General features: G+C 36.6%; 1 protein-coding gene across 9 annotated transcripts in view; it reads right to left on the reverse strand.

The window, feature by feature from the left end:
- Positions 1-14,689, reverse strand: part of PXDNL (peroxidasin like) — a 489,869-nt gene that overhangs the window by 148,230 nt on the left and 326,950 nt on the right. For 8 of the 9 annotated variants that reach the window (XR_007060701.1, XM_047421364.1, XM_047421365.1 and 5 more), the window contains 2 exons: positions 7,166-7,335; positions 4,381-4,498 (listed from right to left, as the gene is read on the reverse strand). The exons of the other annotated variant lie outside the window; for it this stretch is intronic. Coding sequence is in view for 7 of the 8 variants with exons in the window: in XM_047421364.1 (XP_047277320.1) it covers positions 4,381-4,498; positions 7,166-7,335 (288 nt within the window). In the remaining variant the exon portion in view is untranslated. The remainder of the gene's footprint in view (positions 1-4,380; positions 4,499-7,165; positions 7,336-14,689) is intronic. 9 annotated transcript variants of the gene reach the window in all.

Raw genomic sequence — 14,689 nt, forward strand, 5'->3', positions numbered from 1 at the left:
TGCTCTACACACTTTCCTGAAACTAACCTTCGTTCTGAGCTTTTAATTATTCTTCCTTCAGCCTGGCAGGTTTCTCTCATCTTTGAATCTATTCAATTATTCTAAAACTACTTATTAAGTGCTGGTAATCATTTCATTTTTCTACTGAGAGACGTAAAGAATCTCTAAAATTATCTTGACAAATGGCTGTTTTCTAAAACTTGTTTAAATTGTAATAAAAGAAAGGGATTTTTATGAAATTGATTCTTGGCTATGAGTTGAGATTTTGTATCTTTGCATGTGATCAATCTTGATAAGTGTTCCATAACTGCTTGAAAAGATAGTAAGGTTTAGCTTTGTATGTAGTAGATATCATCAGTGTTTTAAGCTATGTTTAGATATTGCTGCTAATTTTTGTTCCTAATCGTTCTGGGAAAGCAGTATTAAAATTTCTTGCTATAATTGGATTTCCGTAAATACATCCTTATAATTCTCTCAATCTTGTTTTATTCTTCATCAGCTATTTTGTTAGGTATATAAAGGTTCATGAATTTTAAATTCAGGTGAATTACATCTTTTATCATTAAGTATGATCTAATGATTTGTGATTACACTATAATAGTCTTACATCATCCTTATCTTGATCAGTATAACTTGGTTGATATATTTGTTTACCTATCGACTTTCCACCTCTCAGTGTCATAATGTTTCAGATACACCTCTTATAAATAGCATATAGCTGGATTTTAAAATTCAATATTATGTCTTCCAATAGACTACTGTTTTCACGAATGTATTTAAATTTATTTCTGATGAGTTATTTTATATTTTCTCTTTCCCAAGCCTTTTCTCTGCCTTTTTAATCCATCCCTGCTTCCCTTTTGTGGATTGATCCAGTTTTCTTTATCCACTTTTTTTCTCCTCCTAGTCTGGAAGGATCTTTCTATTTGTTAATATTCCATCTTAATTGTTAATATGCACTCTTGACTTAACAGAATTCACAGTATCACTCTTCACCTCAAAAATGAGGCATGTAAAATAATTTAACTATGTTCTCTCTCCTTATAACTCTTCTATTAATATTGTCTAACGTTCTACTTTTTTCTTACTTTAAAGTTGTTCAGTCCTTAATAATCTAAGTGTATTCATATTTATCAACATGTTTAAAACTTTCTTTGTTCAACTTTGCTTTTTGCAAATCACATCTTTCTTATTGGATCAAACTCCTACTTACTGAAACACAACCACTTGAAGCTCTTTCAGCAAATACTCCTGAATAAAGCTCTATTCTTTGCCTGAAAATGTTTTTATTTCACCTTGTCAGATAATTTACCTGGATGTAAAACTGAAGGAAATCAGTTATTTTTCCTTAACACTCTAAATATATTTCATTGTCGTCTGTCTGATGTAAAGTTTACCGCAAATATAACTGCTGTACATTTGAAGGTAATCTGCAGATTACTTGGGAATGAAAGATTTTGTCTCTGACTTTCAATGTTGTGATCACAGTGAAGAGTATAGATTTATTTTTTAAATCCTATTTTGGAAGCAATATAATTCTCATTCTGAAATTTTCTGATTTTTTTATTTCTGGATAATTCTATCATTACCTTTTCAAATGTTGCGTTTAGCTCATTCTTTCCTACCTGTCTTTCTGGAACTCCTACTGGATAGACACCAGACCTTTGCATTGTAGTCTCGATGTCTCTTAACCACACTTAAATCTGGTTATTCCCACATACCTACTTTCTAATCCTCCATTTCTACCTCTGGTTGTGTCTAATCAGTTTTTAATCCACTCCTCTAAGGACCCTAAATCCAGGTCCTCTCCAGGGGAGTAGAAAAGGATAATGATAATGAAAGGAAACATGGGTAGCTTCTGAGTTGGGGTATTTTTTCTTAGCCTGGTTCATGTTGAACAGATGTTTGTTTAAAATAATTTGCTATACCACACTTTATGCTCCATGCACTTTCAGGATATATATTATCTTTCTATAAAAAATACTCAACAGTAAATAATCAGTAAGTTAATAGTTACTCATGTTAAACATTTCTTGTCATAAACTCTTCTCTTTCATCTTTAATTTTTTGGTATAAAATGATTAACATTTTGACAGACATTTTTACCCATACTTTTCTTTATTCTATTCTTTCTTTTTAGATTTCTTTGTTTTCCTTTCAAATACATCTTAGCTTCTTTAGTCACTATATTTGAAACTTTTATGTCATAAGTTAAAACAGGCAATGTGATTTTTTCACTTGTTTCTTTCTAAATACTAGTGAGTATCTTTGTAACCTTGAACACACCATTTTAAAATTTAAATTGTAAGAAAGCAGAAAAAGCAGTTTTAAGACATTACAAGCAGCGATTTCTGTTTATCAAGTGCACTTGAGCAATCTAAAGAAGGAAATAAATTGAACACTTCTATCAATTGAAGTCTTTCTCGTGGGCTAGTTTCCAGATTTAATAGTATTCATAATTGCCTTCTATACAAGCTATTTTTAACCTACACTTACTAGACTTTTTACAAGAATTTAAAACACATGGCTGAGTTTCTGGCTACAATTATAAATCCAAATTACACACAAAAAGCAAAAAAGTTGTATAATATATTTTAGAATGTTTTATACAAACAAGCAAAAAAAATCAGAGTTGATTATACACGTGACAAAAGAAAGTCAGTGAAAGTCTGTGCAAGAATGGAAGGGACACATGAAAACCATGGTAATTATCATTACCATAACTAATGATAATATAATTGTCCAAGTGCTATCGTTGAATTGTATTAGGTATATAGTGCACTTAATGTTTCTATTTTATGTTAACTACCAGTTCAGTTTTAAAACAGATATACAAACCAATGGAACAGAACAGAGGCCTCGGAAATAGTGCCATACATCTACAAATATCTGATCTTTGACAAACCTGACAAAAACAAGAAATGGGAAAAGGATTCTCTATTTAATAAATGGTATTGGGAAAACTGGCTAGCCATATTCAGAAAACTGAAACTGGACCCCTTCCTTACACCTTATACAAAAATTAACTCGAGATGGATTGAAGACTTCAATGTAAGACCTAAAACCATAAAAACCCTAGAAGAAAAGCTAGGTAATACCATTCAGGACATAGGCACGGGCAAAGGCTTCATGACGAAAACATGAAAAGCAATGGCAACAAAAGCCAAAATTGACAAATGGGATCTAGTTAAACTAAAGAGCTTCTGCACAGCAAAAAAAAAAACTGTCATCAGAGTGAACAGGCAACCTACAGAATGGGAGAAGATTTTTGCAATCTATCCGTCTGACAAAGGGCTAATATCCAGAATCTACAAGGAACTTAAACAAATTTACAAAAAAAAAAAAAAAAGCATCAAAAAGTGAGCAAAGGATATGAACAGACACTTCTCAAAAGAAGACATTTATGCAGCCAACAAACATGAAAAAAAGCTCTTCATCACTGGTCATTAGAGAAAAGCAAATCAAAACTACAACGAGATACCATCTCACGCCAGTTAGAATGGTGATCACATTTAACTTTTTTAACATTTGTTATTACTATTTAATTTTATGCTCACAGGTTTTTGGACTCATTGGTTTTATGTTTTATCAAACAGTACCATGGGCATAAAATAAATGACTAGCCATTTAAATAATTTTGCATGTCATTTTTGCCAGTTTGCTTAAATAATCCTATACTGATTTACCATAGGAAAGTTGCAATGTCAAATACGAACTATCAGTTTAAATCTGAAACAACTTAGATGTGGCTACATCAAATTATATTCAGCTTTAAAACAAACTAGTTTGTTATTAATCCCAACATTTCCTTCTAGAAATAACACAGAATTATTTTAGTCAGTTTCAGAATCACTGAGGTCTGGAAATGCATAATTTTTTTTTTTGGTTTTTTTTTTTTGAGATGGAGTCTTGCTCTGTTGCCCAGGCTGGAGTGCAGTGGCACGATCTCAGCTCACTGCAAGCTCCGCCTCCCGGGTTCACGCCATTCTCCTGCCTCAGCCTCCCGAGTAGCTGGGACTACAGGCGCTCACCACCACGCCCAGCTAATTTTTTGTATTTTTAGTAGAGACGGGGTTTCACCGTGTTAGCCAGGATGGTCTCGATCTCCTGACCTTGTGTGTGATCCGCCCACCTCGGCCTCCCAAAGTGCTGGGATTACAGGCATGAGCCACCGCGCCCGGCCGGAAATGTGTAAGTTTTAAGAAAAAGGCCTTAACATAGCTTGAGTAAGTCAACAGATAAAAGTTAAAAGGCATTTTATCTTTAAGAAACTCTGAAAATTTTAGTAATTTCTTCTCTAGATAAAGGAGTTAAATTGAGTTAAAAAGATTGCTGGAATCAGAAGGAGAATCACAACCCATGTCCATGCTCAGTATTTACTTGTTGTGTATCCAAATAATCTCAGGTTTGGGGTTTCCTTCCGCCCGGCAGGTGAAGTAGACGGTATTTCCTGATGGTACCTCCACATCCTGCGGCTCAAAAGTAATTCGGGGGCTCTCTGCAACAAAAGAATTATTGATGTATTTTTCAGAGATACAAAATTATGGCCTTCCAAGATGCTGAGAAAGAGATATAGGCAATTTAAATTTATTTCTACATTAAAGTTTTACACATCGAACTGCATTTACCCGGTAATACATGTACCAGGTTAGAGATTAGACATATATTTGACTTATACTTTAGAAGTTTGAAAAATTCACTGCACAAAGGGATCTCCAATGAAGTAAATTAAGTAAATTTTCCTGTGCTTTTATTTCTAGGAGCTCAATACAACCATATTTATGGAAGGAGTTTGATTTTATGGGTCAATTTTTCAAACCAAGTACTTAAACTGAGCTTGCAGTTTTGCAGGCACTCTTCCTAGACAATTAGCTATCTAAGCACCCAACCACCCACTTTACACAATTTACAACAAGTGATATGTCTAGACCTCAAAACTGGTTGAGCAAAATTCTTATCTATATAAATGAATGATTCCATCTTCCAATAATAATTGAGTGGTAAAACATGAAAACACTTAAATTATTTCAATAAGAAGATGGAGTGATTGATTTTGTAATGAATCAGGTAGTATTATTGAACTTAAATTATAAAGAACAATGTACAAAAGGGACTTTTAGTTTTCTATAGTTTCACCTAATTCTCTTTAAACCTTTCTAAATAATAAAACTCTTCCTTTTATAAGTGCCTTATCTGAAATTTCCTGTCATTAACCATGACTATTATGTCTGTAGAACATTCCGTAGATCTTTAGTAATCTTGCTTACTTCATTAAAACTCCATATAATTAATATCTTGGCTTTATTCTTTTTAGATAAATGATTTTATTCATTTGTGTAATTTAAAAAAAAATTCAACGTCAGTTATGTGCCAGACAAGGCGCTAGGACTAGTGATGAAGCAGTGTTCAAAATAGACAAGGTCTCTGTACCAAGGGGTTTACAGTTTCATTGAAGCAGTAGAAAATAAACACACACACACACACACACACACACACACACACACAAATACATATTAACATATGCGGCAAATGCTTAGATGGAAAATAAACGATGTTTTGATGGATTATAAAAAGGGACCTGATTCAGTATGGAGGGATAGGTAGGTCAGTGGGAAGGGGGTTTGAATGAAGGCTTTCCATGTAATTCATATTTAAAAGGAGGACCATTAAAAGAAGTAGAATCAGAATATTGTAGGCAGGAAAGACAGCATGTAAAAAGTCCTTGGGTTGAAGAAAGGCTTAAGAACTTCCAAGAATGGAGAACACTGAGTTGGCTACAACACTGAGAAAAGAGTAAGTGACTGGAGGGATAGCATTAGGAGATATACCTAATGTTAAATGATGAGTTAATGGGTGCAGCACACCAACATGGCACATGTATACATATGTAACTAACCTGCGCACTGAGCACACATACCCTAAAACTTAATGTCTAATTTAAAAAAAAAAAAAAAAAACAGTAAGTGACTGGAGGAGCAGAGTGTAGCCAGCAAGGACCGTACAAAAAGAATCAACCATGTTAAGAATTTTGTGCTTTATTTTAAGGTAGGAACCTGTATAAGGATTATAGATGAAGAAATGATGTATTAAGATGTGTTTTTAAACAATTTTCCCAAACATAAAGGAGCAAGAAAAATGAAAGCTGGGATATCAGTTAAGATGTGAAGCAATCCAGCCAAACTTGACTGTGGTTTGAACTGGAAGTTAGTAGTAAAGATGGGAGCTATGGACAAGCTTGAGAATTTTTTGGCAGTAAAGACCAAGTCAATTTTCTTGTCAATTTGAATATAAATTAATTATATTGATATGATTTTTAATTACTTGTTTAGAGAAATTCAAAAAATGGCTTGCCAGCGAGGGAGTGGAAAGCAAATTTTTGCTGTAATTACAGCAGTCATGTGAGTGAATCTCCAAGACACGAATTATCACACACATGCACACACACACACGAAGGTATTCATTTATTTCTATTTAAACCGAAATATAGGAATAGAGATACATAGAGACATATTCTTATATTCACATGAAAAGCTTTAAATGAAAATCAAATAATATTGTAAGCAGCCGTAATAAATTATTTAGGTAAAGCTTATTGCTTTAGTAAGGTTGTCAGAATATAACCATATGCTTATTAAATCCAAGGTTTCCATTATTTAAAAATTTACAAAGAGATGGTAAAACTGATTTTCATTATTTTAGTCGTATTCATGGTCCCATTATACATTTAAAAAATCAATTACTGAATTTGTTGAGGGCTTTCTCAGCAATGAATATTAGCAATTATTTGATTTAAAGTTGAAACCCCTAAATTACTGATTATTAACACTAAGTCATACCAAGGAATAAGTGGAGATTTTAACGTTGGACACCACTTCTGGTGACCTTGTTGAAAATCAGTTTTCTCAATATTTCTCCTCTGAAATTACGGAAATTAGATTAAATCTTCCTCAAAGACTCTCTCAGCTCTTAATTTTATGTTGATAAAAACTTCTTTAAATGAAAATGCAGATGATGGAAAGGAAATTGGCCATACTTTTACCACATTCCTTAAAAACACTTTCTGATAACACGTTCTTCTAAAATGCAATATTATATAATAAACCTTTACAAAAAGAGAGCAAATGAGAGACAGTTCTATCTTATGTACACATTGAAATTTACGTACGGCAATTGAATTCCTCTACTGTTACTGAAGCAACTGCACGCCCATGGAGTCTCCTGGGATATTCGCAGGTAGCCGCAGCCTGGGTGTGGCCGTGTTGGGCAAAGCCTTGTAAAAGCTCCCCCAGCCACATCAGATCACAGTCACAAACCAGGGCGTTGGAATCCAGACGCCTAGGCATGCAGGCAAGAAGTACAACTGTTAAAAGGGACTATTAATTTCTATGATGAATCTTTTGAGTGGTAATATTTAATTTCCCCTGATTTACCTTGTCTGTTACATTTTTGACTCCAGGATTCTATTAACCAATAAACAGATTTTAAGAATCACTTAACTCATTGCATATCTTGCACAGAGTAGACACATTTTCAAATTAACCATGTTTTTGAGAAGCCACTTTAAAACTGGAAAAGTGGTTTTCCCTTAATGTGCACTATGTCTATTATAAATAAATGTGAGGTGAAATGAATCCTTATTTGTTTCAGAGAAATGTAGAATTAAAACTGTAAGTATGGCCAGGTGCAGTAGCTCATGCCTGTAATTCAAGTGCTTTGGGAGGCCTAGGCAAAAGGATCACTCGAGGCCAGGAGTTTGAGACCAGCCTGGGCATTCTAGCAAGGCTCCCTCTCCAAAGATAAAAATTTTCTTTAATTTCTTTATAGTTTCAACTTTTATTCTAGATTCAGGGGGTACATATGCAGTTTGTTACCTGGGTATATTGCATAATGCTGAGGTTTGCGGTCCTATTGATCTCATCACCAAAGTACTGAACATAGTACCCAATAGTTTTGCAACCCTCACCCCCCTCCCTCCCTTCCCTCACCAGTAGTCCCCAGTGTCTATCGTTGTCATTTTTATAACTATGAGTACCCAATATTTAGATCCCACTTATAAGTGAGAACATATGGTGTTTGGTTTACTGTTCCTGCATTAATTCATTACTTCATTCTTTTTTATGGCTGTGTCTACAATTTTTTAGTTAGCCAAGCATGGTGGCACCCACCTATAGTCCCAGCCACTTGGGAGGCTGAGGTGGGAGAATCACTTGAGCCCAGGAGTTGGAGGCTGCAGTGAGCTATGAAGGCACCACTGCACTCCAGCCTGGGTGACAGAGTGTGACCCTGTCCCAAAAGCAAAAACAAACAAACAAAAAAGCTGTAAGCACTGAAGTGTTCCAGTTTGCTTTGTTTATGTGTTACAGAACAAGGAAGCTGTAATGTGGTGGTGGTATTTCAATATTTTTGGATTACTCAAAAGAGTGGTAGAAGCTTTGCTGCCCAAAGGAGGCTTATAAATGTGACGTGTGATCCACGCAGCTCCCCCAGGAGTTGGCTTTTTTCTTTTGTAAACTCCTTGGCATCAATATGGATAGGCATGTGTTCTCTGTGTTTTCCACTTGCTCTAAAGGACAGAAGCCAAGCTTTCCTTTTTTATAATGCTCAAAGTCCCAGTTAGAAGGTCCCCCTCTGGAATTGCTACATGTAGACTGTAACAGGAAGGCGATGGCTCTTTTCATTTCTTTATGGTGTTTCCTAAGATAGGCACACAAGTTATTCATTTTTGCCAAGTTATACTATACTTCACTAATTTTTCTGTCACATTTTTCCTCATGAAATAAAATAGATCACCAAAGAGATTTATGATATACCTCCATTCTTGCCAAAAGATGCGTGGCAAAAAGGCGCAGAAATGATTAATACTTTTTTTCATTTCTCCCAATGGGTTAAAAAGGGAGCTTTTGCTAAGTAGAATTCACAAGTCTGTCTATGGTGGCAGTTGGATCACACTCTATGCAAGGAAGTCCAGCAATAAAAGGGTAATGTGAACATATTTTATGATAGGTGTTAGATTGCTTATACCTGATTGTAAGAAGTAGTGTCCAATGTGACTGGAGGAGAATACAAAATGCCATAAATTTAATAACTTTTAATCAAAATTATTCATGCACAAAAAGTCCTTACAAACATGGAAAAACAAATACACAAACACAAATTAAATCTAAAGATACCAATTTGCAAATAAAAAAATCACTTCATTGTATTAATTTGGAAATTTGCATCAATATCACGTTACTGGAAGAGACAAACCTGAAAGTAAAGAAATTGTGCTATTCTCTGGATTTAGAAACTAAAACACTTCCTAAAACAACTGTATACATTTTAATAAATTAAGAAAGTTTTATTATCTGACAGTTTTGTAAAATGTTTTGTAGATACCCAATTCATAAGACTAATTTTTATAACTGTATCTAAATTTTATTATATTACCCTGAAAATGATAGCTATGTTTAGTAGCTTTAAATTGCTAAAGGGAAAACATTTGCACTTATTGAAAAGTTAGTTAACCATACACATATTATTTGCTTAATGTTTCCAACAAGACTTCACACTAACGTGAGAATATAAAGCCATGGCTAAAGTAGGGAATTCTGTCAGCCTTGTCGGGAGTGAGGTGTAAGTCATAAAAGTCAACTAGCCCTTGTTCAGGACAGCGCTGTTGGTTCAGTGGGCCTCGGCTGTTCCTTGTCACTGACTGACTTATTGTACCAGCTACGTGGCTATAAAACAAATCTAGTTCAACAGTATTGTGTTCGAAGTTCACATTTATATTTTGAGTTTAATTTCTCGTAATTTTATCAAAAAGGAACATGCAAGAACTTACTCCTCTAAATATAAAGGAGTAAGTTCTCACTTCAGCATCACCATGACGTTCCTCTGACTTGAACATAAGCAAGGATGTGAATACACATCCCCTGGGAGCATCCCGAGCATGGCAGCCTCACCATGCAATTGCCCCATCTTCCAGAGGTCATCACTGCTTGCTCATCACCTTCCCTCAGTCATACCTTCCCTTAACGCAACCTCATGCTTATGTGTTTTGGTAATAACTGAGCACAAGATTTCATTTCTTTCTAATTATTATTTTCAACTTAAGATATCAATAGTGGGGATGCAAAACATGAAGAAAACAACAAAAGGATATAGATTTTCACTTGCCAGTCGAAAAACTCCTTTTATGTTCAGAAAATAAAAGTATACTTTTAGTATAGTATAGTATAAAAGTATAGTAAAAGTATACTTTTATATGATAATCTGAGTAATCTTTATAAATAATTTTCAAATTTATCATGAGAAAACGTTTTCAAAATTTTGCCTGTAATTTAGAGCCATGAATATTGAAAACCAAGGAGCAATAGAGTCAATCAATAAGAAAGATGGTTCTTATGAATCTTTATTAGACTATACTAAATATTGAATACACTATGTTTAAAATCATTATCATTTTACTGTTCTCCATTTTGAAAGTACTCTTACATCAAATATCATACCAAGTATAATAAATAAAAGCCCTCTGATGGTATGCAGTCAAGAACCACAGCACTAAAATAATTACTCACTTGGAATATATTCTCTGCTCAATGAAAAATTTCAAAGGAAATAAGTGGTGCTAGGTAAATTAATCTTTTCTATTTGAAAACAGTAACACCTCACTTGTACTTACACAATCCCTTTCACTTAAAGATCCAAAAACACTTTTAAACAAAACAAAATCAAAAACATTTTATTGATTTTTACAGTCCACTTGTGAGGAGTGTAGTTGTCATGAGTTAGAAATGGCATGGTACAGATGGAGAACCCAGTGTCGGGTGATCCTTCAAAGTGCCACGCCCAGAGTCAAGGGCAGAATTCCCGCTGGTTTCTCTGCCCTCACAAGCTATCAGTGAATGGACACTCCTCAGTTGAAAAACTTTATTGTTGAAGGTGGAATTCATTTAATAGTAGGTGTAGCCCTCTATTGCTCTCCTGTATTCTGTTGTTCTCATCTAAATTGTAGCCAAAATAGGACAGGAGTTGAGGATTTGGAATAAACAGGTGCCCAGTTTCCACCCCGTCTTGGACCCATCGGGACTTCATGGACCCTGAGCAGGTTGCTCAAATCATCTGTATATCAGTTTCCCATAAAATAAATTCATAACATAAAGATAGTTTGTCAAAATAACAAACCAAAAAAATCATCTTAAAACATTTGGAATAAGCACAGTGCATGCATGTAAGGTGCATACTGGCACATCACTGTAAGGAGAACTCCCTCAGCCTCTTTATTGGCAGTTATTTTTGCATGTGTGTTCCAGCAATTGAGTGAATGCTGTTTCAGTAAATGTAAGAGGAGGCTAGAACAAAAAAGCTGCTACTAAGATTTAACATGAAAGAATAATAAAAAGAGATTAGAAAAGACTAAGGAATTTGGCACTTCAAGACTTTCTCTGAGTCACAGAAGGCAAGAATGACCCAGATAGAAATTTATGTAGACAAGAAACACTGCATGGGAATTATAATTGCAAATATACAAAGACAGTGACTCTAACCATAACTGATGTAACAAATCCAAAAAAGGAGAGAAAACAGACAAGTAGAAAATAATACACAATATTTCTCCCACCACCAAAATGGAACATCCTATGACCCTGTTACAAAATGTCTTGGCATTTTGCATATCCCACATAGGATTGAAAAACAAGAATAAATGGATGTGTTATTCCAAATGGCTGTTGCAGCCAGTTCTGACAAGTAAGAAAACTTTGGCAAAAAGCAGAGTCATCATGGATGGAACTGGAAGCCATTATCTTTAGTGAAATAGAAAGAGGAAGTCAAATGTCTCATGTTTTCAAGCTTACAAGTGGGAGCTAAATAATGCATGCACACGGACGTAGGGAGTGAAATAATAGACACTGGACACTCAAAAAAGTGGAAGGGTGGGGTGGGAGTGAGGGATGAGAAATTATCTAATGGGTGCAGTGCACACTATTAAGGTGATGGTTACACTAAAAACCCAGACTTCACCACTATGTTATATATCCATGTAACAAATCTGTACTTGTACCCCTTTACAGATAGATTAGATAGACAGATAGATATGGTCAGTTGATGACCATATCCAAGACTTTTGAGGGCTTGGATACAATCAAAGAACACCAAGAAGACTGGGAAGCAGCATTATGTGTGTCTGACATGAGAATTACCAAGAAAGAAGGAAATAAAGACTTGAAGAAAAGGATTAGGAGTGGGTGAAATGCCTCCTTGATTAAACTCAAAGATTACAAGCATTATTTCTGGGCACAAATAGGGGCCTGGATTTATTTTCCTCAGGGCTCTGATTTTTACTTAATCATAACATTCTTTTGCTCATGGACCTGTGTCTAGGAACACAATATTAGAAGAGCAACCACAACAAAAGTGGCCTCTGTATTAGGCCATTCTTGCATTGCCATAAAGAAATACCTAAGACAGGGTAATTTATAAGAAAAGAGATTTAATTGGCTCATGGTTCTGTAGACTGTACAGGAAGCATAGTGCCAGCATTAGCTCTGGGGGAGGCCTCAGGAAGCTTTTACTCATGGCGGAAGGAGGAGCAGAAGCAGGCACTTCACATAGTGAAAGCAGGAGAAAAGGTGGAGGATGCCACACTTTATAATGACCAGATCTCAAGAAAACACACTCAATATTGGGAGGACAGCACCCAGCCAGGAAGGATCTGCCCCCATGAACCTCCCATCACGCCCCACGACTGACATTAGGGATTACAATTGCACATGAGATTTAGAGGGGAGAACATCCAAACTATATCAGCCTCTGATATGGTTTGGCTGTGTCCCCACCCAAATCTCACCTTGAATTGTAAAAATCCCTACATGTCAAGGGTGGGGCCAGCTGAAGATAATTGAATCATGGGGGTGGTTTCCCCCATACTGTTCTCATGGTAGTGAATAAGTCTCACAAGATCTGATGGTTTTATAAATGGGAGTTCCCCTGCGCAGGCTCTCTTGCCTGCTGCCATGTAAGATATTCCTTTGCTCTTTCTTCATTTTCTGCCATGATTGTGAGGCCTCCCTAGCCATGTGGAAATGTGAGTCCATTAAACCTCTTTTTCTTTATAAATTACCCAGTCTCATGTATGTCTTTATTAACAGTATAAGAACAGACTAATATAATAAATTGGTACTGGGAGTGGGGCACTGCTGTAAAGATACCCAAAAATGTGGAAGGGACTTTGGAACTGCATAACAGGCAGATGTTGGAACAGTTTAGAGGGCTCAGAAGCAGATAGAAAAATGTTTGAAAGTTTGGAACTTCCTAGAGACTTGGAGGGCTCAGAAGACAGGCAGATGTGGGAAAGCTTGGAACCTCCGAGAGACTTGTTTAATGGCTTTGACCAAAATGCTGATAGTGACATGGACAATAAAATTCAGACTGAGGGAGTCTCAGATGGAGATAAGGAACTTGTTGGGAACTGGAGTGAAGGTCACTCTTCCTATGCAAAGAGACTGGTGGCATTTTGCCCCGCCCTAGAGATCTGTGGAAATTTGAACTTCAGAGAGATGATTTCAGGTATCTGGTAGAAGAAATTTCTAGTTAGCAAAGAATTCAAGAGGTGACGAGGCATAAAAATTTTGGAAATTTGCAGCCTCATGATGCAGTAGAAAATAAAAACCCATTTTCTGGGAAGAAATTCAAGCTGGCTGCAGAAATATGCAAAAGTCATGAGGGACCAAAGGCTAATCACCAAGACAATGGGGAAAATGTCTCCAGGGTATGTCAGAGACCTTCACAGCAGCTCCTCCCATCACTGGCCTGGAGGCCTAGGAGGGAAAAATGGTTTCATGGACTGGGCCTAGGGCCCCCCTGATCTATGCAGTTTCTGAACATGGTGCCCTGCATCCCAGCTGTTTCAGCTCTAGCCATGACTAAAAGGGGCCAACATACTTCTGAGGCCATTGCTTCAGAGGGTGCAAGTCCAAAGCCTTAGAAGCTTACATGTGGTGTTGGGCCTGTGGGTACACAGAAGTCAAGAATTGAGGTTTGGGAACCTCCACCTAGATTTTACAGAATGTATAGAAATGCCTGAATGTCCAGGCAGAAGTTTGCTGCAGGGGTGGGGCCCTCATGGAGAACCTCTGCCAGGGCAGTGTGGAAGGGAAATGTGGGGTTGGAGCCCCCAGACAGAGTCCCTACTGGGGTACTCCCTGCCTAGTGGAGCTGTGAGAAGAAGGCCAACGTCCTCCAGATCCCGGAATGGTAGATTCACTGATAGCTTGTACTGTGCACCTGGAAAAGCTGCATACACTCAACACACCCCATGAAAGAAACCAGGAGGGAAGCTGTGCCCTGCAAAGCCACAGGAGCAGAGCTGCCCAAGACCATGGGAGCCCATCTCTTCCATCAATGTGACCTGGTCGTGAGACATGGAGTCAAAGGAGATCATTTTGGAGCTTTAAGATTTGACTGCCCCACTGGATTTTGGACTTGCAGGGGACTTGTAGCCCCTTCATTCTGGCCAATTTCTGCCATTTGGAATGACTGTATTTACCCAACACCTGTACCCCCACTGTATCTAGGAAGTAACTAACTTGCTTTTGATTTTACAGGCTCATAGGCAGAAGGGACTTGCCTTGTCTTAGATGAAACTTTGGACTGTGGACTTTTGAGTTAATGCTGAAATGAGCTAAGACTTTGGGGGACCGTTGGGAAG

Source organism: Homo sapiens, chromosome 8 (assembly GCF_000001405.40).
Source record: "Homo sapiens chromosome 8, GRCh38.p14 Primary Assembly".
In the NCBI taxonomy this organism is placed as follows: domain Eukaryota; kingdom Metazoa; phylum Chordata; class Mammalia; order Primates; family Hominidae; genus Homo; species Homo sapiens.